This window comes from Homo sapiens, chromosome 19, assembly GCF_000001405.40.
Source record: "Homo sapiens chromosome 19, GRCh38.p14 Primary Assembly".
Classification (NCBI taxonomy): Eukaryota; Metazoa; Chordata; class Mammalia; order Primates; family Hominidae; genus Homo; species Homo sapiens.
The window spans coordinates 52,388,839-52,411,552 of NC_000019.10; the positions used below are offsets into that span (position 1 = coordinate 52,388,839).

General features: G+C 45.0%; 2 protein-coding genes and 1 long non-coding RNA gene across 14 annotated transcripts in view, besides 1 other annotated feature; 2 read left to right on the plus strand and 1 right to left on the minus strand.

Annotated features, from left to right (window-relative positions):
• ZNF880 (zinc finger protein 880) overlaps window positions 1-8,828 on the plus strand; it is a 30,809-nt gene extending 21,981 nt beyond the window's left edge. For 4 of the 7 annotated variants that reach the window (XR_007066826.1, XR_007066827.1, XR_001753689.3 and 1 more), the window contains one exon: window positions 3,821-3,904. Coding sequence is in view for 2 of the 7 variants with exons in the window: in XM_047438837.1 (XP_047294793.1) it covers window positions 3,821-3,950; window positions 5,962-6,130 (299 nt within the window). In the remaining 5 variants the exon portion in view is untranslated. Of the gene's footprint in view, window positions 1-3,820; window positions 3,951-5,961; window positions 7,037-8,749 lie in introns of those variants that run through there. The other 3 variants (XR_001753688.3, XM_047438837.1, XM_047438838.1) reach the window with 2 other exon arrangements.
• On the minus strand, window positions 1-8,919 carry ZNF528-AS1 (ZNF528 antisense RNA 1). Its single transcript, NR_125345.1, has 7 exons — window positions 8,624-8,919; window positions 8,357-8,429; window positions 7,772-7,914; window positions 7,527-7,661; window positions 6,760-6,912; window positions 5,953-6,009; window positions 1-465 (listed from the first exon to the last, which is right to left on the minus strand). It is a non-coding gene; the product is annotated as a ZNF528 antisense RNA 1 (long non-coding RNA).
• Window positions 8,323-9,522: an enhancer, noted in NCBI's record as "CDK7 strongly-dependent group 2 enhancer chr19:52900414-52901613 (GRCh37/hg19 assembly coordinates)". NCBI's record gives its function as "activates an origin of replication core promoter dependent on BRD2, BRD4, P300/CBP, MED14 and CDK7 cofactors, with strong dependence on CDK7, by STARR-seq in HCT116 cells {active_cell/tissue: HCT116}" and the evidence as "EXISTENCE:reporter gene assay evidence [ECO:0000049][PMID:35650434]".
• Window positions 9,011-22,714, plus strand: part of ZNF528 (zinc finger protein 528) — a 20,553-nt gene continuing 6,849 nt past the window's right edge. The window contains exons 1-6 of one of the 6 annotated variants that reach the window (NM_032423.3): window positions 9,011-9,066; window positions 9,529-9,781; window positions 12,847-12,915; window positions 13,109-13,190; window positions 17,069-17,195; window positions 17,677-17,805. In NM_032423.3, the coding sequence (NP_115799.2) occupies window positions 13,176-13,190; window positions 17,069-17,195; window positions 17,677-17,805 (271 nt within the window). In that variant the 5' untranslated portion in view covers window positions 9,011-9,066; window positions 9,529-9,781; window positions 12,847-12,915; window positions 13,109-13,175. Of the gene's footprint in view, window positions 9,067-9,528; window positions 9,782-12,846; window positions 12,916-13,108; window positions 13,191-13,661; window positions 13,708-17,068; window positions 17,196-17,676; window positions 17,806-22,714 lie in introns of those variants that run through there. The other 5 variants (XM_006723418.3, XM_047439511.1, XM_017027365.2 and 2 more) reach the window with 5 other exon arrangements.

The following is a 22,714-nucleotide window of genomic DNA, read 5'->3' on the forward strand; positions in this document are numbered from 1 at the left end:
TTTATAAAGAAAAAGAAGTTTAATGGACTCACAGTTTCACACGGCTAGAGAGACCTCACAATCATGGCAGAAGGTGAAGGAGGAGCAAACACATGTCTTACGTGGTGGCGGGCAAGAGAGAGCCCGTGCAGGGAAACTGCCCTTTATAAAACCATAAGATCTCATGAGATTTATTCACTATCATGAGAACAGCATGGGAAAATCCCACCCCCATGATTCAGTTACCTCCCCCCGGGTCCCTCCCACATGTGGGGATCATGGGAGCTGCAATTCAAGATGAGATTTGGTGGGGACACAGCCAAACCATATCATTTTGCCCCTGGTCCCTCCCAAATCTCATGTCCTCACATTTCAAAACCAATCATGCCTCCCCAACAGTCCCCCAAAGTCTTATTTCAGCATTAACTCAAAAGTCCACAGTCCAAAGTTTCATCTGAGACAAGCAAGTCTCTTCTGTTTATGAGCCTGTAAAATAAAAAGCAAGTTAGTTATTTCCTAGGTACAATGGAGGCACAGGTATTGGATAAATAACGCCCGTTGCAAATGGGAGAAATTGGCCAAAACAGGTCACAGGCCCCATGCCAGTCTGAAATCCAGCAGGGCAGTCAAAGCTCCAAAATGATCTCTTTTGACTCCGTGTCTCACATCCAGGTCACACTTATGCAAGAGGTTGGTTCCAGTGGTCTTGCAGGGAACCCATGTCTGCCCCTGTGACTTTGCAGGGTACAGCTCCTCTCCTGGCTGCTTTCACAGGCTGGTGTTGTGTCTGCTACTTTTCCAGGCACATGGTGCAAGCTGTCGGTGAATCTACCATTCTGGGGTCTATAGGAGGGTGGCCCTTTTCTCACGGCTGCACTAGGCGAGTAGTGAGTAGTCTGTGTGGGGGCTCCAACCCCACATTTTACTTCTGCACTGCTCTAGCAGAGGTTCTCCATGAGGGCTCCGCCCCTGCAGCTCACCTCTGCTCCAGTTCCAATAAAGTTCCTCATCTCCATCTGAGACCACCTTCAGCCTGGACTTTTTGGTCAGAACCATTCAACAACCATTTTCTAGGAAGCTCCAAACTTTCCCACGTCTTCCTGTCTTCTTTTGAGCCCTCCAAACTGTTCCAGCCTTTGCCTGTTACCCAGTTCAAAATTTGCTTCCACATTTTGAGGTATCCTTATAGCAGCACCCCACTCTATACCATTACCAATTTACTGTATTAGTCTGTTCTCACGCTGCTAATAAAGAAATACCCGAGACTGGGTAATTTATGAAGACAAAGAGGTTTAATGGACACAGTTCCATGGGGTCGTGTCCCCCGTGCTTCTGCCACAGGGCCATATAGACAGCTCTTATCGCGGAGTTTTCCTGCCTCAAATCCTTCAGTGTCCCCTGCACTGGCCCGCACCTTTTTTAAAGTCCTCACCGCAAGGTTGATTCCCGCCCTGGGAGCTTCCCATCTGCTCCGCTCCCTCGTCAGCTCCTGGAGCGCAGCGACGCAGCCCCAGTCCCAGGGAGGCCGTGAACTCTTCCTGGTCCTGGGATCCTGCAGACCCTGCCCCTCTCCTGACTTTCTCCTGCCTTTTTCCTCCTTGATCGGGGGCCCTTCTGCTCCCCAGGCCTCCCCTTCTCCTGATATCGAGTGTGGGGACGTGACTTCTATCTCAGGACGTTAAGGTTTCTCTTGTCCCAAATTCCATCCCACAGGAAATGGGCTCTTGAGGTGGGGATCTGACTGCAGTCCCCTCCCTATGAATGTGTGGAGGAGAGGAAATAGAAAAATGGTGAAATGGGAAAGAAGAATGAAGGAGACCCATAAACAGACGGCAGCTGGGTGCGATGGCTCACGCCTGTAATTCCAGCACTTTGGGAGGCTGAGGCGGGCAGATCACCTGAGGTCAGGAGTTTTGAGACCAGCCTGACCAACATGGAGAAACCCTGTCTCTAAAAAATACAAAATTAGCCAGGCATGGTGGCGAATGCCTGTAATCCCAGCTACTCTGGAGACTGAGGCAGGAGAATCGCTTTTACCCGGGAGGCGGAGGTTGCGGTGAGCCAAGATCGCACCATTGCACTCCAGCCTGGGCGACGAGCAAAACTCCATCTCAAAAAACAAAAAACAAAACAAAACAGATGGCAAAGTAGATGGTGGATGAGGGATTTGCAGAGACAGTGCATGAAGATGCTGAGAAAGGAGCAGGGGGAGAAAAGCAACTAGAGAAATTTAGAGAAAAACTGGGTTTCTAGAGAGATAAAGTTCAGCAAGATAGGGAGAGGGGCAGAAAAGGGGAGGCTCCTCAGATGGAGAGTTGGGGAGAGAAGGAGGGATTTGGAGCCAGGGCAGACAGAGCAGCATGGTGCTGGGAGAGCAAGAGGGGCAGCCAGTGATAAGGAGAGCACAGGGAGAACCACAGCCTGGGGAGAACTGGGATCTGGGGATGCCAGAGAGGGGACAGGTGGATATAGCAGGGAAGAGGGGATTTAACAGGGGAAGCTAGGGGGCAGCAGAGACGGGGGGAAGAAAGAGGCAGAACTATATGAAAATTGGAGACAAATATTGGGCAGAAAGAAGAATAAGAGGTGAAAGAAGTGAGAAAGGAGCAGAACAAGTGGAAGAGAAGGAATAGAGGGAAGAGCAGGAGAAGGAAGAAGGGCTTGAAATGAGGAGAATCCTAGGGGAAAAATAAAGAGAAAAAAAAAGCTAGGAAAAGAAGGTGAGAATGAGAGGTAGGTAGAGAAACACACAGTAATGAGGAAAGAGGGGGACACTCAATCCAGATGAATGATGAATTGATTGGATATTATGATTAATTTCTCTATAATAAACATCACATTTGTTTAAAATATACAGATGAAGATGAGAATTGGAAAACTGTCTATAAGGCATGTGCATTTCCTAATTCTTGGTATCAGAGGTTAGCTTCCATTTGCTGTCCTTATTCTGCCAGACGGCAGGCAGTGACTTGACTCATTCAGGTATGGGTCACTATCTTCACTTCTGGGATGGGGTAGGGTGTGTGAGTGTATAAGATAGGAGGAAAAACCAAAGTGTTTTTTCTACTCACAATCAACACAATAGTGAATGCTCAACACAGAATGCCTCATCTCCGGTCATCAAAATGTGTGGGGATTACTTCCCACCAACAAGCTATTTTTCATCAGATAAAAACTGGGTGTTCTCTAATTGAACTCAATTTGACACCATTTATAGGGAGTTAGCATTAGATCTCACAGGAGGCTGAGGGCTCAGTTGCACAAAACTGCCCCCAGAATTTGCTATTGCTAGAGTGATTTACACAACTTGGAGAAACAATTTACTGAGGTGTACCATTTGTTATAAAGGATGTTACACAGGACACAGATCAACAGCCAGATGGAAGAGCATTCCTAATAAATTAATGGAAACAGAAGTATGTTTTGGAAACCATGGACTGACTTTCTTTCTCTTTCTCTCTTTCCTTCCTCCCTTTCTCTCTCTCTTTCTTTTCTTTCACTTTGACGGAGCCTCGCTCTGTCACCCAGGCTAGAGTGCAGTGGTGCTATCTCAGCTCATTGCAACCGCCACCTCCCGGGTTCAAGTGATTCTCCTGCCTCAGACTCCCAGGGAGCTGGGATTACAGGCGTCCACCACCAAACCTGGCTAATTTTTATATTTTTAGTAGAGACAGCATATTGCCACGTTGGCCAGGCTGGTCTCGAACTCCTGACCTCAAGTGATCTGCCTGCCTCGGCATCCCAAAGTGCTGGGATTACAGGCCTGGGCCACTGCACCCAGCCCAGGGCTTGAGTTTTAAAGGTGCCACAGTACACCTTGGTTCTCTTTTTTTATAAACAGGAATCTGTCTTCCTGACCTGAGTATTATCTCTATGTGGGAGCAAAGGAGAGAGCCCTGGACTCTGGAGAGTGAAGGGAAAATAGCAAAAAAATCCAGATGGGAGGGAATGGATCAAAGGTGTGAACACAGGTAAGAGCTCAGATGGGCAGAGTGGAAGCTGTATATATATATATATTTTTTGAGAGACAGGGTCTTGCTCTGTTAGCCAGGTTGGAGTGCAGTGGCAATCATAGCTCACTGCAGCCTGGAACTCCTGGGCTCAAGTCATCCTCCTTCCTCTGCCTCCCAAACTGGTGGGATTACAGGTGTGAGCCACTGCACCCTGCAAAGCCACACTAATAAATAGTGTTTGGGAAACTCTGCAACTGGGAGAATTCTGTGGAAAACCAATAGTATAAATCCTGTTAGTTTTTTTTTTTTTTTTCTTTTCTGAGACAGAGTCTCACTCTGTTGCCCAGGCTGGAGTACAGTGGCGCAATCTCGGCTCACTGCAACCTCTGCCTCCCAGGTTTAAGCTAGTCTCCTGCCTCAGCCTCCTGAGTAGCTGGGATTACTGGTGCCTGCCACCATCCTTGGCTAATTTCTGTATTTTTAGTAGAGAGAGGGTTTCACCAAGTTGGCCAGGCTGGTCTCGAACTGCTGTCCTCATTTGATCTGCCCGCCTCAGCCTCCCAAAGGGCTGGGATTACAGGTGTGAGCCACCATGCCTGGCCTAAATCCTGTTAGTTTTGAATGGAAATTTTCTTTCTTTCTTTTTTTTTTTTCTGGGACAGATTCTTGCTTCGAGACAATGACAAATACAAACTAGGTTTACTGTAAATATGAGAAAGGGAAAAAATACTTTTATTGTATTAGAAGACTTGAAATCACATGAAGTGATACCAATCTTTTGTTGTTGTTGGTCAGATGTTTTAGCTATTTTAGGTGTTTGGGTTTTTTGTCTTTCTACATAACTGCTAACCTTGTTAGTATCTGCAGAATGCCTTAATTAGGAAAGGTATTAACCCTATGTGTCAGATTTGTATAATTCATATTGCTTTACATGGAGTCTTCCAATAAATGTATATGGTATATGTCTCTATTTGCTGTCTTTGATTTCTTTTATCAGCATTTGGTAGTTGTAACATAACAGTTCTATGAATGTTTTGTTTCACATGTATTTCTTTGCCCCCCCCCTTTTTTTTTTTTTTTTTTTGAGACGGAGTCTTGCTCTGTCGCCCAGGCTGGAGTGCAGTGGCGCGATCTCAGCTCACTGCAAGCTCCGCCTCCTGAGTTCACGCCATTCTCCTGCCTCGGCCTCCCCAGTAGCTGGGACTACAGGCACCCGCCACCACACCTGGCTAATTTTTTTGTATTTTCTTAGTAGAGATGGGGTTTCACCGTGTTAGCCAGGATAGTCTCGATCTCCTGACCTCGTAGTCCACCTGCCTTGGCCTCCCAAAGTGCTGGGATTACAGGTGTAAGCCACTGCACCCGGCCTCTTTGACCTTTTTCTTAATGGAGCAATCATACATAGTATTTTATTTTTAATATCAGGTTTCATGTGCAAATTGCTAGTGTATAGAAATATACAAGATTATTATTATTATTATTTTGAGACAGGGCCTTACTCTGTCATCCTGGCTGGAGTGCAGTGGAGCAATCTCAGCTACTGCAACCTGTGTCCTGCAGGCTTAAGTCATCCTCCCACCTCAGCTTCCCCAGTAGCTGGCACTGCAGGCATGTGCCACCATGGCCTGTTAAATTTTTGTGTTTTGTAGAGATGGGGTTTCACCATGTTACCCAGCCTGGTCTCAAACTCCTGAGCTTGAGTGATCTGCCTGCCTTGGCCTCCCAAAGTGCTGGGATTACAGGCACGAGCCACCATGCCTGGCTGATGAAATATACGATATTTTTGTAGGTTGACCTTATACTTTGCTACCTTTACATTTTTCTTGTTCTAGAGATTTTTGTAGATTTTTTTGGAATTTTCTACATAAAATCATTTCATCAGTTTCCTATTGCTATACACAGTGATTGGCTTAAAACAAGAAAAATTTATTCTTTTATAATTCTGTAAGTCACATATCTAATATGGGTCCATAGTTCTGTGATTCTTCATTAATCTCCAGGGGAGAATTTGTTTCCTTACCCTTTGTAGGTTCCAGAGGCCACTTACATCCTTTGACTCATGGTCCACTTCCTCCATCTTTAAAGGTGAGAAAAAAAATCTCTTTATCCCTCTATTTTCAACACATCACCACTGTCTCTGTCCCTTCGCATCCACCTGCACCCTTCTGATATTGAACCTTGTGATTCTATCACTTTGACCATATAATTCAGGATGTCTATCTAAAGATCCTTATCTAGACCACATTTGCAAACTCCCTTTTGATATATCCAGTAACACAGGTCATAGGGATGTAGCTACCTTCCTTTGGGAAAGGTATTAGCCTGCACAACCAACATATTTTCTGTTGGTACACTATTTTTTTTGTCCTGTCCTCAGGCCACCCTCCTTCCTCAGCCTCCCAAAGCACTGTGATTACAGGCCTCAGACACCACACCCAGCCTGTCACTTTTATTTCTTTTTCCTTTATTTCACTGGCTGGAACCTTTCATATTGTGTGGAATAGTAGTGATAAGAGGGGACATTCTTGCCCTCATCCCAACCTCTAGGGGAAACTATGCTTTCACCAGTTTGTATGATGATTCTGATTCTGTAAGGATTGGTAGGTGATCTTGAGTTGAGGAAGTTTCCCATGATACTGCTTTCCATACTGACCGCAGTATTTCAGATTCCCACAAAATGTACGAAAATAGTTTCTCCACATCCTTGCTTGTGAAGCAGGTTCACTGCACACTGGTTGCCAATGTGTCTGAGTTGAGTGAGAGATAATCTCACGGACACACAGTAAGTTACATGAAGTGAATTTGTTACATACAGATCGGCAGATACCTGGGATTCATGCATTCTGCTCCCCAAGGCTCAGGAAAACCACCCAGTGCAGATGCAGTCTCTCTGTATGTGTTCAACTTGCATCACAGCTGTGGGAGGCTGGAAGGCGGCCCATCCTGGGTTTCATGCTCCAGGGATGCATGGCACGTTGGCCTAAAGCAACAAAGGGGATCCTGTTCTGGGGATCTGGAACACATCCTGTCCTTTTCTCACCGGTCCCTTCCTCTCAGGATGTTGCTTTTCCAGCACATTCTATATTCATTCTTGGGAACTACAAGTGAGAAGTCAGATGCAACTGGGCCAATTCAACCCCACTTGAATGCTGTCCTGCAGTCTCTCCGCCAATCCAGATATCCCTTTTATTTTTATATTTTTTGAGACGGAGTCTCGCTCTGTCTCCCAGGCTGGAGTGCAGTGGCGCAATCTTGGCTTACTGCACCTCCACCTCCCAGATTCAAGCAATTCTTGTGTCTCAGCCTCTCGAGTAGCTGGGACTACAGGCGTGTGCCACCATGCCTGGCTAATTTTTTTTTTTTTTTTTTTTGTATTTTTAGTAGAGACTTCGTTTCACCATGTTAACCAGGCTGGTCTCTAATTCCCGACCTCAGGTGATCTGCCCTCCTCGGCCTCCCAAAGTATTGGGATTACAGGCGTGAGCCACCACGCCTGGCCCAGATATCCCCTTTAATAAAGCTAGTCCATTTACATGTGCACTGACCTCCCTGGATCTGGAGGTAGAGGCTGGTCTCAGGAGATTGAAGTAATACCTCGACTGGCAGAATCTCAGGGCAACATCATTGAGGTACAGCCAGTTGCATTTCACTAGGCTCAAGAGGATTGCTGCCTCAAGCAGGATAACCAGGCCTGCCTGGAGCAGTGCCGTAGTCCAGGATCCCAGTGACCTAGGTGAGAAGTTGGTACTCAGATCAAAGAAAAGTTCTTCAGGTGACCCCACTGTCTGCAGCCAATGGGCCTGCTTGTGGGCCTTATGTATTTGTGTTTCAAAAATAACCTGAGGGCTTGATGTGGGGGTCCTTATCTCCCATGCAAGGTGATTCATGCCTATAATCCGAGCACTTTGGTAGGAGCAGATGGGAAGACTGCTTGAGGCTAGAAGCTGGAGACCAGCCTGGGCAACAAAACCAGACTACATCTCTATTAAAAACAAAGCAACAAACAGTAGAAAATTAGCACAGTGGAGAGGCACAGGCCTTTACTCACAGCTACTCGGCAGGCTGAGACAGGGGGTCACCTGCCCAGGACCCCAGGAAGTCAAGGTTGCAGTGAGCTATGATTGCGCCACTGCATTTCAGCCTCGGTGGCAGAGACCCTGTCTTAAAATTTTAAAAAGTATTAAAAAACTAAGTTGGACCGGGCGTGGTGGCTACTCTGGAGGCTGGGGCAAGAGAATCACTTGAACCCAGGAGGCGGAGGTTACAGTGAGCTGAGTGCCTGCCACTGTACTCCCGCCTGGGGGACAGAGGGAGACGCTGTCTCAAAACAACAACAACAACAAAAAACTACGTCGTTTATGGCTATTTTTATAAGTTACTGGCTTTTTTTTTTTAAAGAATCGGTGACTTATCTTCACACTGGCCTTAGTCCTCCATGCCCAACACGATGTCCCTAGGAAAGTCTCTGGAATTGAGCACAGGGTTGACCTTCACCGTCTAGAGTGAATGGGGAAGATAAATGAAAAGTATTTATCTTCTATGGGCACTGGCATGAAATAGAACATTCTACCCTGGCAGGGTTTTGCATTTCACATTTTAGCTTGCATCATCCCCTTCACAGACAATTCCAAAGTGTGTTAATTCAATTCCTAAAGCTTCCCTTCCCTTCCTCCCTTCCCTTCCCTCCTTACTTTTCTTTCTTGTCCATTTATTTTCGGTTTTTTTCTCTTTCTTTCTTGGTTTTCTTTCTCTTTTTCAACTTCTCTTTCTTTTCTCTTTCTCTTTACTCTCTCTCTTCTCTCTCTTTCTGCTTCCAGGGTAGGTGGGACTTGAAATTCATTTTAATAGAAGGAATTTTCGTGGATATAATCTACAACCGATTTTGCTCTGCGCAGGTAAGATCCGTTTTCAGACCAAAACCCTGAAAACAAGCGCAGCCAGTCAAGCGAACGGAAGCGCAGGCCCGGCCCAGGCTTTGTCCCGGCCCGCCCTGGTCCCAGCCAGTCCGGCCTCTAGGATGCGCGCGCAATTTCGTGCAAACCCGGAAGCGGACCGCGGGGGGCGAACGCCTAGAGCGCAGTTTCCGGTAGACCCGGAAGCCGATTGCAGGGAGAAACTGTTTTCGCAGCAGTGCGTGAGTTTCCCTTTGTCTATGTTAAGTCTAGGCTAGCCAGTTCTTCTCTGCTTCTATACCCGGGAGCTGAGGGGCATGCAGACCTTGAAATCCCGGCACCGCTCCCTCCACCCCGAGTAAATTCAGACATCCTTTGAGAGTCTGGGAGTCGCTTTCTGCGTGTTAAAATCGCTTGGAGGCTGGTCGTGTGCCCGGTCTTTTTGTCATTTACCCACGTAGACACCTCCTATCGTGGGGTTTACCTGCTTCAAATCCTTTAGTAACCCCTACACACGCCCCGCACCACGTAAAATCCTCACTCTCCGTTCCCCTAGCCTCGCCCTTCTTTGCCCCTAGAGCTCAGCGCCCCAACAGGGCACGAGAGGCCTCGTCCTCTGCCCAGACCTGGTTTCTGCAGACTCCACCCCTCTCCTGACCCACTCCTGCCTTTTTGCTCCTTAATCTGGACCCTCTGTTCCCCAGGCCTCCCTTTTCCAGCCACCGGTTCTCCTGACCCCGAGTGTGGGGGGTGACTTCAGTCTCCTGACATCCAGTGTTCTCTCGAGCCAGTTTCCAGCCCACAGAAAATGAGCTCTTCCGGAAGTGGGCATCTTATTCCAATCCCCTCCCTGTGAATGTGTGGAGAAAAAGAGATGGGAACGAGGCAGAGGAAATAGAGAAATTTTGAAAGAGAAATGAAGAATGAGAGACCCATTAACAGAAGGCAAAGTAGAAGGTGAGTGAGGGGTTTGCAGAGGCACAGTGAAAGAAGGTGCCGAGAAAATAGCAGGGGAGAAAAGTAACTGTAAAAATATAGACAAACCTGGGTCTGTAGAAAGACGAAATTCAACAAGATAGGGAAGGCTTCTCAGACAGAGGGGGGAGAGGAGGAGGGATTTGGAGCCAGGTCAGACAGAGCAGCGTGGTGCTGGGACAGCCAGAGGGGGCAGCTGGTCACAAGGAGAACAGGGAGAACCACAGCAGGGGGAGGCCTGGGATCTAAGGGTGCCAGAGAGTGGGGACAGGGGTGTGTAATATCGAAGATGGAATTTAACAGGGAGACCCCAAGGGGAGCTGAGATGTGGGAGGAAAGAGGCAGAAATATATGGAGATTAGGGACAATGAAAGATTGGGCAGAAAGAGGAATAAGAGGTGAAACAAGTTGTAAAAATGGATCAGAACAGGTGGGAGAGAAGGAATAGAGGGAAGAATGGGACAAAGAGAAGAGGAGGGACTCAAAATGAACAGAATCCTAGGGGAAAATAGAGAAAAAAAGAGCTAGGAAAAAAGATGAGAATGAGAGATATGTACAGAATGAGGCAGGGAAACAGTAGTGAGGAAAGAGGGGGACCCTGGTTACAGATGAGTGGTGAGTTGATTGGAAATTATGATTGAATTGTGACATATTAATTTTTCTATAATATAAAATTTGTTTAGAACACATGAGGCTAGGAGCTGTGGCTCACACGTGTAATCCCAGTACTTTGGGAAGCTGAGGTGAGCGGATCACTTGAGGTCAGGAGTTGAGACCAGCCTGGCCAACATGTGAAACCCATCTCTAGTAAAAATACAAAAATTAGCTGGGCCTGATGGCCTGCGCCTGTAATCCCAGCTACTCTGGAGGCTGAGGCAGGAGAATCGCTTAATCCTGGGAGGCAGAGGTTGCAGTGAGCCGAGATCGTGTCACTGCACTCCAGGTTAGGTGACAGAGCAAGACTCCATCTCAAAAAACAAAAAACAAAAAACCACACATGAAGATGAGAATTGGAACACTATTTATAAGGCACTCTTCTCTTTTCTTGGGATGGACTAGGGTGTGAGTGTATAAGTTAGGAAAAACCAGTGTGTTTTTGTGTTCACAGTGAACACAATAAAGAGCGCTCAACACAGAATGCCTCATCTCTGGTCACCAAAGTAATATGGGAATTACTTGTCACCAACAAGCAGTTCTTCGTCAGACAGCACCTGGGTGTTCTGTAATTTTACTCAGTTTAACTGGTCAGTGTAGGAACAACCACAGACACATTTTGATCACTAAAGGTGAGGGATTCTCCTTTGGGTGTGAGAGTAGTAAAAACAGTGTGGTTTTTTCCTGTCTCAAACAGTAAGGGGAAGAATTTTCCAACAGGCCCACTCACCTGTCTCTAGGACTGTGTTCTTAGTAGTGACTGGGAATTGTCTGTCCCTGCTCCTGGCTGCTGCTGATGCTGAGACTGTGTGCCACAGGCCAGCCCCATTCACTCTCTCCTGATGCCACGGCATCCCTCCTCCACAGTGTCATCAGATTTTACTTCAAGGGAATTATTTTGGTCAGCATACCCAGATGGAGTTGTTGCCCATTAAAACACACACACACACACACACACACACACACACACACACGCCTTTATTTTTTCCACTATTTCATCCTCAGAAGAAAAAACAAAGTATTAGCTACATTTTTACTTGCAATAAGTATGCCTTTTCTGTGCTCCATGTAAGAGCACAATATACCAAAATCTTGTTTAGGCGCTCTCTCACTCTTTCCTCCATTTCTTGCTTGACCCCATCCAATCAGGTTTTGACACCAACCATTCCACTGCTCCTTTTTTTATCTGAGTCACCAGTGACTTCTCTGTTTCTAAATCTAGTTATTTATTTATTCATTTAATTTTTAGAGACAAGGTCTTGCTCTGTCACCCAAGCTGGCATGCAGTGGCACAGTCATAGTTCACCATAACCTCAAACCCCTAGACTCCAGCAATCCTCCCGTCTTAGCCTCCAGAGTAGATAGGACTATGGGCCTGTCCCTCTGCGTGGCTGATTGAAAAAAAAATTTTTTTTTTTGAGACAAAGTCTCACTACATTGCCCAGGCTGGTCTTGAACTCCTGACTTCTAGCCATCCTCCTACAAAGAAGTCCCAGCATGCTGGGATTAGAGGCATGAGCCCTTTACCCTGCTTAAATCTGACTTTGAATTTTCTGTCCTCCTGTCTTTTTCTGTCAGCAGCATGTTTCACAGCTGATCACTCTTTTTTTTCGCAGCTTTGAAGACATTGCTTGTATTTTTAAAAATCTGTTTAAAATTTTTCTCATTACTTTCGTATCTTATCAGTTTCCTCTGCTGCTGTCTCCTGAAGTGTCTTCTCTGAATATGGAAATGTCACCCAATTTAGTCCTTAAACCTGTTCTGTCTGCCCACACCCTCAGCTTTTCCTTTTGATCTCATCTATGGTTTTAAACACCACCAACATGTCTCCATTTTCCCTCTTCACCCACCCCTCTCCCCTGAATTCCAAAATCCTGTGTCCAGTCATGTTCTCGACATCTCTGCTGGGACATCCACAGGCATCTCCACCTCCACGTGTCCAAAATAGGCTTCCTGAACTCCCCCAGACATGTTCTCCCTACAGTCCTGCATAGCTCAGATGACAGACACCTTCTACTTTCTGGGGATTAACTAAACCTGTCAGAATGTGCTTAAAATATATGAGATACTATTTGTGTTTTAATTTCTAAGGTACAGAATAAGTGACATATTTACTTAAAATGAGTGAGGAAATAGATTGTTTCAAAATTTCTTTTGATGTGTAGGAGAAAATATTTGAAGAGCTCAGCCCTGCCTGATCTGCTTCCCCAGGACCTCTCTGACCTCATCTCCTGCCTCTGTTCTTCCCGCTCCCTCTACTGCAACTACACAGCCCCCTTTCCTTTTCTGAGAGCGTTTTGTATTTTTAAAATAAGTGCTTGATCAAAGTATGATTTTAGGAATCACAGTTTATTACCACATGAAGAATTGCTTTTTTTTTTTTTTTTTTTTAGGTTCACAAATTTTAAGAAAGGGAGAATAAAGTGAAAAAAATCTCAGAAGGAATCCACTCAACAGACGAGGTACCTTAACCACATAATGGTTGATTTCCAAAATTATTAACATCTGCTTGCTCAGTTAGGATAAATCAGACCTATGTAGAAAGTCAAAGTTTGAGGATTACCTCAGGGTGAGGTCTTCCCTTTGTGTGTGGCTATGGCACAGGAAGGAGGTATGTTGATTCTAAGCCCTAAGCAGCATATTTTTGACATTCAGGATTCACTTCCAAAGAGACATATTATGCAAGGAAGCAACTTGGAAGAGGAAAGAAAAGAAGTCAGGAATGGCCCTTACTCAGGTAAGGTAATGTTCTCAGTGGATTGTTCTGTCTCTGTTTCTTCCTGAAATGCCAGGCATTGGAGTTGCTAATCTTTGACTCTGAAGCATCCTGCCTGACACGTTTGCTTGCACTTACCCATGGCTTCTTCCAGTCCCTTCATTTCCGCTTGAGATTTCAGTTCACTGTGACCCATTGACATGAACTTGGGAAGAGGCTGCACTGGGCATGGTCCGGGGGAGGGCTCTCAGCAGACATGGATGGAGACGGGGTGTGGGTCCCGTGGTGGCAGTGCTGCTGGGCAGCAGGGATTGTTCAGGGATCACATCTGGATGCACTGTCAGTGTTCTGTGGACTAGAATTAGAGAAGCTGCACGTCAAAGTTCCTTTCTTTCTTCTTTCTTTTTTTTTTTTGAGACAGAGTCTCACACGTTGCCCAGGCTGGAGTGCAGTGGCATGATCCCTGCTCATTGCAACCTCCGCCTCCCTGATTCAAAGGATTTTTCCACCTCAGCTTCTCATGTAGCTGAGATTACAGGTATGCACCACCACTCTAATCTAATTTTTGTGTTTCTAGTAGAGATGGGGTTTCGCCATGTTGGCCAGGTTGATCTTGAATGTCAGCCTCAAGTGATCTGGCCACCTCGGCCTCCCAAAGTGCTGGGATTACAGGCGTGAGCCACCACCCCCAGCCATATCCAATGATTTCTTAAGGTATAGGGTGCTGAGGTATTTTCTTTGCCCTTAATATGTTAAATTAGTACATTAATTTCCTGTAACATATCACCTTTTTATTAATGGAATAAATTAGTAAACTTAATTAAATTTTGTTAATACCTAAATAACAATATTTTAATGGACGAAGCTTCATTTATAGGCCAGAAGCAGTGATGTGTGCCTATAATTCTAGCTTCTTGAGGGGTTGAGGTGGGAGGATCCATTCAGCCCAGGAGTTTGAGACTATCCTGGACACCTAGTGAGATCCTGTCTAAAATTTTAAAAATATTATGTTTTTGAATATGGATATTTAGTAGAGATTGGAGTTCAGGTTTCTGTGGTTTTACATGGTCTCCCATTTTTAAGTACTTACCATATGTTTATAAAATAAGTTGGTACAATTTATACATTTTTATTGTGGCAAATATGCTGAAATACACATTGGGAAAAATAGTACTTACAGGTAGGCACAATGGTGCATGCCTTTAGTTTCCCACTTGGGAGGCTAATGAGGAAGGATCCTTTGATGCCAGGAGTTCAAGGTTATGGTGTGCTGTGAATAGCCACTGCCATCCAGTTTGGACAATGTATTGAGACCCTGTGTCTAAAAATTGCGAACCAAACTAATGATGAAAAATATGTAAAAAATAGGTCACTGGGACAGGGTGCAGTGGCTCACCCCTGTAATCCCAGCACTTTGGGCCAAGGCGGGCAGATGAGAGGGTCAGGAGTTTGAAACCAGCATGACCAACATAGTGAAACCCATCTCTACTAAAAGTAGAAAAATTAGCCAGGCATGGTGGCGCACATCTGTAGACCCAGCTACTTGGGCGGCTGAGGTAGGAGAATCGCTTCAGCCTCAGAGGTGGAGATTGTGGTGAGCCAAGATTGTGCTACTGCACTCCAGCCTGGGCAACAGAGCGAGACTCCATCTCAAAAAAAAAAAAAAAAAAAAAAGTCAGTGAGAGACAACTTCTCTTATTTCAACTGATGTCTATAAGTGTGTATGTGTACTAGTGTATATGAGTGTGTAAGTGTGTACATGTGATGTGTGTGGATGAGTGCACAACAGTGGTTTTTATGAATGGCATGTCATCTATATAAATTTTATGTTTTTTAGTCAGTTGAAATTACATCTTAAATATTTACCAGGTTAAAATTTTTCTATACTATCATGCTAATGAGCTGATAGCTATAAGAATAATAATGTATTATGGGGACATATAATATATTATATATATGCAGATATAATGACCTTTTAGGCAGTTTTGTGTTTTTAATCCTTGAACTTGTTTTAAGTTTACTGAATTAGGTAATTGTCAATTTTCTTTTGATCCTGATCTGTTACTTAACTGTTTGATTCTTTAGGTTTGATTCTAATGTCCAGACACCTGGGATCCCATGCTTACACTGCCATTGTTAGTCCTGACACCTGGGGCGAGTTTCCTAGAATACATGTGAAAGAGTTGTCTCTTCAGTAAGATAGGAACAGATTATTCTTTCTTCTTTTGTTTGTTTTTTTAGGTGAAGTCTCGCTCTCTCACCCATTCTGGAGTGCAGTGGCGAGATCTTGGCTCGCTGCAACCTCCGCCTCCCGGGTTCCTGCGATTCTCCTGCCTCAGCCTCCCAAGTAGCTGGGATTACAAGCGCCTGCCACCACACCCAGCTAATTTCTGTATTTTTACTAGTGATGGGGTTTCACCATGTTGGCCAGGATGCTCTCAGTCTCTTGACCTTGTGATCGCCTGCCTTGTGATCCTCCAGTTAGTTCATGTAAAGCATTTAAAATAGTGCCTATCACATGGGAAGTGTTCCATTCAGCCATTGCTATTGTTATCATCACAGTTTTCAGATTTTGATCATTTTTTATTTTATTTGTTTTTTTGAGTCGGAGTGTCACTCTTGTCTGTTGCCCAGGCTGGAGTGCAGTGGCATGATCTCAGCTCACTGTAGACTCCACCTCCCGGGTTCAAGAGATTCTCCTGTCTCAGCCTTCTTAGTAGCTGGGATTACAGGCACTCACCACCACACCTGGCTAATTTTTTTCTATTTTTAGTAGAGACAGGGTTTTACCATGTTGGCCAGGCTGGTCTCGAACTCCTTACCTCAGGTGATCCACCTGCCTTGGCCTCCCAAATTGCTAGGATTACAAGCATGAGCCACCACACCTGGCCAAGATTTTGACCATTCTTAAAAACTACAATAGGTTGGGGCCGGGCACAGTGGCTTACGCCTGTAATCCCAGCACTTTAGGAGGCCAAGGCAGGTGGATCAGGAGGTCAAGAGATCGAGACCATCCTGGCCAACATGGTGAAACCCCGTCTCTACTAAAAATACAAAAAATTAGCTGGTCGTGGTGGCAGGCACCTGTAATCCCAGCTAGTTGGGAAGCTGAGGCTGGAGAATCACTTGAACCTGGGAGGTGGAGGTTGCAGTGAGCCAATATCACACCATTGCACTCCAGCCTGGGCAAAAAGAGCGAAACACCATCTCAAAAAAAAAAAAAAAACCCAAAACTACAGTAGGTTGGGTGTGGCGGCTCACACCTGTAATCCCAGGACTTTGGGAGGCCAAGGTGGGAGGATAGCTTGAGTTTAGGAGCTCAAGACCAGCCTGAGCAACATGGTGAGACACCATATTTATAAAAAATACAAAAATTAGCCAGGCATGGTGTCATGAGCCTGTAGCCCCAGCTACTCCAGAGGCTGAGGTTGGAGGATGACTTGAGTTTAGGAGGCAGAGGTTGCAGTGAGTCAAGATTGTGGCACTGCACTCCAGTCTGGGTGACAGAGTGATACCCTGTCTCAAAAAAAAGAAAAAAACACTGTAGACATTGTCATCTCTGAAGACACCACTTGAATTGAATCTCAGGTAGATACTGGATATCACTTGGTGTGTAAAAATACCTAACACTTCTATAGAGAGAGATAACCCTGGATTAATTTTTTTTGTATTGTCCAAAAATGAGACATCTACACTGATTTAAGGAATGTCTTAACTTCTTATGGAGAAATATAATAAAACCACAATTACAGACACGTAACTGGCTCAAGAATACCTTAATATGGATTTTTCACAGTGCTCACATAAGTGGAGTCAGTCCTTAACGACTGTCTTCCCATTCTTTGTGACGATGAGTACTGTGTGCATACCTTGTTGCTGAAATGTGGATTTTCTTTCAGGGACCCTTGAAATTCATGGATGTGGCCATAGAGTTCTCTCAGGAAGAGTGGAAATGCCTGGACCCTGCGCAGAGGACTTTATACAGGGACGTGATGTTGGAGAATTATAGGAACCTGGTCTCCCTGGGTGAGGATAATGTCCCCTCAGAAGCCGGGATCTGCCCTGGTGGATCTCTGAATTGTGTCTTATATGCCTCTTGGGAGCTCCTGCATTGCTTGCCTGAGATTGAAACCATGTTGACTCAGAATTGAAAAACTGTATTACACTTTCTGGACTTGAAATGTCCCCTTTCTTCAGTTATTCTCCTCCCTCCACAATTCATGATTGGTGGCACCAGGGCCGAAGTATGCAGGAAACCTTATGACAAACTTTAAAAATATCCAGTTCCCTGTTTTCTACCCCTGTGCTTTTGATTCTATAGTTCTTGGAAGGGGGCTCTATGTCTGCATGTTACAATGTTCCCTAAGCATTCAGAAAGAGGCAGTCAGTAGATGAATTTGTGAAATACTATTTATGATTTAATTATAATATCCTCTCTCCTCCCTAAATACAGGGCTTGGACTTGGGAGATGCCACAGCACACATTTATTCTTTCTTTTATAAATAGGAATCTGTCTTCCTGACCTGAGTGTTACCTCCATGTTAGAGCAAAAGAGAGATCCCTGGACTCTGCAGAGTGAAGAGAAAATAGCAAACGATCCAGACGGCAGGGAGTGCATCAAAGGTGTGAACACAGGTGAGAGCTCGGGTGGGCAGAGTGGAGGCCCCATAATTTTTGTTTTTTGAGACAGGGTCTAACGCTGTCATCCAGGCTAGAGTGCGGTGGCAATCATAGCTCACTGCAGCCTTGAATTCCTGGACTTAAGGGATCTCCCTGGCTCGCTCTTCCAAAGTGTTGGGATTACAGCCATGAGCCACTGTACCCTGCAAAGCCACACTATTACATAGCGTTTGGGAAACTCTCTGCAAATGGGAGAATTCTGTGGGAAAACCAAAGTTGAAATCTTGTGAGTTCTGAACAGACATTTTTCTTTATTTTCCTATTTATTTTTTGGAGATAGGATCTCTCTTGGGTCACCCAGTCCAGAATGCAATGGCATGATTATGGCTTGCTGCATCCTCGACTTCCTGGGCTCAAGTGGTCCTCCCACCTCAGCCTCCTGAATAGCCGGGACTACAGGTGTACGCCACGATGCCTGGCTAATTTTTGGTATTTTATGTGGAGATGGGGTTTCACCATGTTACACAGGCTAGTGTTGAACTCCTGGGCACCCAGTCCAGAATGCAGTGGCATGATTACGGCTTGCTGCATCCTCGACTTCCTGGGCTCAAGTGATTCTCCCACCTCAGCCTCCTGAATAGCTGGGACTGCAGGTGTACGCCACCATGCCTGGCTAATTTTTTGTATTTTTTGTGGAGTTGGGGTTTCACCATGTTATACAGGCTAGTGTTGAACTCCTGGGCTCAAGTAGTCTGCCTGCCTCAGCTTCCCAAAGTGTTGGGATTATAGGCATAAGCCACAGCAACCAGTAAGGTGTGTTGTTTAATTGGCAAATATTTGTGGATCTTTAAGTTTTTATTCTTTTGGCTGGGCACGGTGGCTCATCCCTGTAATCCCAGCACTTTGTGGGGCTGAGGCAGGCAGATCACTTGAGGCCAGGAGTCCGAGACCAGCCTGGCCAACATGGTGAAACCCTGCCTCTACTAAAAATACAAAAATCAACTGGGTGTAGTGGCAGGTGCCTATAATCCCAGCTACTCAGGAGGCTGAGGCAGGAGAATCGCTTGAACCTAGGAGGTGGAGGTTGCAGTGAGCCGAGATTGCACCACTGCGCCCTAGCTTGGGTGACAGAGTGAGACCCTGTCTCAAAAAAAATAAAAATGCATTTTTTTCTTTTGTTAATTTCAACGTTACATGCCTCTGCCTCTGGAGTAGCTGGGATTACAGACATGCACCACCACGCCTGGCTAATTTTTGTATTTTTAGTAGAGATGGGATTTTTCCATGTTGGGCAGGCTGGTCTCGAACTCCTGGCCTCATGTGATTAGCCCTTCCTTAGCCTGCCAAAGTGCTTGGGATTACAGGTGTGAGCCACTTCACCTGGCCCAAAACATTCTATTTTAAATGTTAACAGCTTATCTTTGATTAGGTACACAAAGCTCTGCTTAACAACTCTGCTCTTTCTGTTATTACTGGCAGAAATTAATCCTATATATTTTATGTTCCCATTAACATATGTTTATAATGTTTATAATGCTTTTTAAATGAGAGTGTCTTTTTTTTTTTTTCTGAGATGGAGTCTCCTTCTATCTCCCAGGCTGATCTCGGCTCACTACAGCCTCTGCCTCTCTGGTCCAAGTGATTCTCCTGCCTCAGCCTCCTGAGTAGCTGGGATTACAGGCGCCCATCCCCACCCCTGGCTAATTTTTGTATTTTTAGTAGAAACAGGTTTTTGCCATATTTGCCAGGCTGCTCTCCAACTCCTGACCTCAAGTGATCCACCTGCCTCGGCCTCCCAAAGTGCTGGGATTACAGGTGTGCCACTGTACCTGGCCTGATTGTGTCTTTTAAATTGTAGGAAAGAATTAAAAGTCAAGTTACAAATGAAAAGTGCAATAATACTTGTTTCTGTATTTGATCATTTGTTGACCTTTTATGATGAGCTTTTTATTTTTATTTTTGGGGGATGGAGTTTTGCTCTGTTGCCCAGGCTGGAGTGCAATGGCAGGATCTTGGCTTACTGCAACCTCTGCCTCCTGGGTTCAAGCGATTCTCCTGCCTCAGCCTCCCGAGTAGCTGGGGTTACAGACACCACGCCCAACTAGTTTTTGTATTTTTAGGAGAAACGGGGTTTCACCATGTTGGCTAGGCTGGTCCCGAACTCCTGACCTCAGGTGATCCACCCACCTCAGCCTCCCAAGTTGTTGGGATTACAGGCATGAGCCACTGCGCCCTGCCTATGATGACCTTTATATTTTCATATGGATTAAAGATACCGTCCAGAGTGCTTTCATTTCATCTTGAATGCTCGTTTTAGCATTTCTTCTTGGACAGGTCTAGAATACTAATTAACTTCCTCAGCTCTTCTTTAGGAAAGTCTAAAATTCGCCTTTATTTTTGCAGGTGAGTTTTGCTAAGTGTAGTATTCTTCATTGCTGTTTTGCCTATTTTTCTTTAAGCACTTTCAATATATCACCTCACTGCTTTCTAGCCTGAAGATGTCTGCTGGAAAATATATATAATCTTACAGAGTTTAGTATTGTCTGACAAGTCTCTTTTTTGTTGCTGCTGTCAAGATTTTGTCTTTGTCTTTTTTTGACTCTTGATAATTTCTTTATAGTATGTCTCTGTGTGAATGTATTTGGGTTAATTTTAATTAGAATGATCAAATCTCTTTTTTTTTTTTTTGAGACGGAGTTTCACTCTTGTTGCCCAGGCTGGAGTGCAGTGCCATGCATGATATTGGCTCACTGCAGCCTCCACCTCCCGGGTTTAAGCGATTCTCCTGCATCAGCCTCCCAGGTAGCTGAGATTACAGGCACCCTCCATGATACTCCTTTTCATGCATCATTTTCCTGATTTCATTTAATTGTCTATCTCATTTATGTTTCAGCTGGTTAAGCATCTTAAGACAGTTGCTTTCAAAATTTGTAAAGTAATCAGAGGGCTGCCTTTTTCTAGGTTGGGTTTGTGGAGATTTGGGTTTTTTTGTTTGTTTGTTTATTTCAATGTCCTTATGTAGGCCTTGTAATTTTTATTTTAGGTTTGCTAAAACAACTTCTCCCAGGTTTTTTTGCTTGTTTGTTTTTGTTTTTGTTTTTTTTGAGATGGAGTCTTTCTCTGTTACCCAGGGGCTGGAGTGCAGTGGCATGATCTTGTCTCACTTCAACCTCCACATCCAAGATTCAAGCAATTCTCTTGTCTTAGCCTCCTGAGTAGCTGGGACTAGGCGCACACCATCACGCCTGGCTAATTTTTGTATTTTTAGTAGAGACAGGGTTTCACCATGTTGGTCAGGCTGGTCTCGAACTCCTGACCTCAGGTGATCCGCTCACCTTGGCCTCCCAAAATGCTGGGATTATAGGCATGAGCCACCATGCCCAGCCAGGTCTCTAACTATTGACCTCAAGTTATCCATCCCCCCTTGGTTTCCCAAAGTGCTGGGATTACAGGCATGAGCCACTGCACTGGCTGTTCCAGTTCTTTTACATAAGAACTGTACAAGGTGAGACCTTTACAAATCAACCTGTTGTAAAGGGTGTGGGTGCCACCTGCATGGACCTTGGGGGACTAAACAAAGGGAACAAATGTGGGAATAAAAGACAAAGACAATAGAGTATATTTGGAAGAAAGGGTCAGGGGGCTCCTTGCTTCTAATGGACAAGGGCCCTGAGCTTTAGAGCCCTTCACATTTTATTGGGTAAAAGAGGGAGAAGGGTGGGGGTGATTGTCGGTCAGCGGCTTGATTTACAGCAGGCTTGCAAGACTGCATTCTTTGAACAATAGGCTCTAGATGTCCCAGTAGATAATCTCAGTGAGCACAGTGCCAGGGAATGATTGCCTCCAGCAAACCTTCTGGCGGTAGGCGCAGTCATGAGTTTGCCCACATCCTGCATTCATGATAAACAGTTTGCTGTTTGGTCATATAGCCTCCAGTGGAACGCTGAGTTGGTCATGTCTCTCAGGCCATCGGCTCCCTACATCTCCCCTTTGTGTTTATGTATTACTGTTACAGATTTGTCTAAGCATTGGCCTACCTAAAAGTTCTGTTGGAGATAGGGGGTAGAGAGAATAAACAAAAACAAAGGTTTTTGTGGCTGTAGCCGGGAGGCATGTCTCTGCTGAAGCATTTGCTCTATAAGCTATAATTCCTCTTCAGCCTGTTAAGGGGCACAGGGAATTTAAGGAAGAATCTCCTTGCAGGGTTTGGTAAAGATGTGTAAGTTGATAGGTGGCAATACCTAGCATAGGGCGTAGCCAATTAATATCTCCTAGTATTTGTTGAAAATCATTTAAAGTCTATAATGTGTCTTTACCAAGAACTGCTTTCTATGGCCGTACACTCCTCTCCGTAACAATATTTCCTACGTAATGGTATGGGGAAGTTATTTGCACTTTCTCTGGAGCAATTTTGGGATTCCGTTTAACAAGATCTTGCTTTACATCTCTGAGTAATTGATGTAAATTTGATCTGTAGGAGTGGCCAGAAGAATATCATCCATAAAATGAATGATATACGCAGTGGGAAACATATTTTGAGACTCCTTTAATGCTCTTCCTACAAAATGGTGACATAATGTAGGACTGTTAAGCATGCCTTCAAGTAAAACTTGCCATTGATAGCAAGAAACAGGTTCTCTATGATTAATAGAAGGCATAGAGAAGGCAAATTGAGGCTTATGCTTCTCGTGTAATGGTATAATAAAGAAACAATCCTTAAAATCTATTACTACAAGAGGCCAGTCTCTTGGAATGGCCGCCGGGGAAGGTAAACCTTGCTGTAATGCACCCATTGGTTTAATTTGTGCATTAATAGCTCTCAAATCATGCAGCAGTCACCGTCTTCCAGGCTTTTTTGGAATAACAAATACCAGTGAATTTCAGGGGCTAACTCACTTCTCTATATGTCCTGCATTCAATTGTT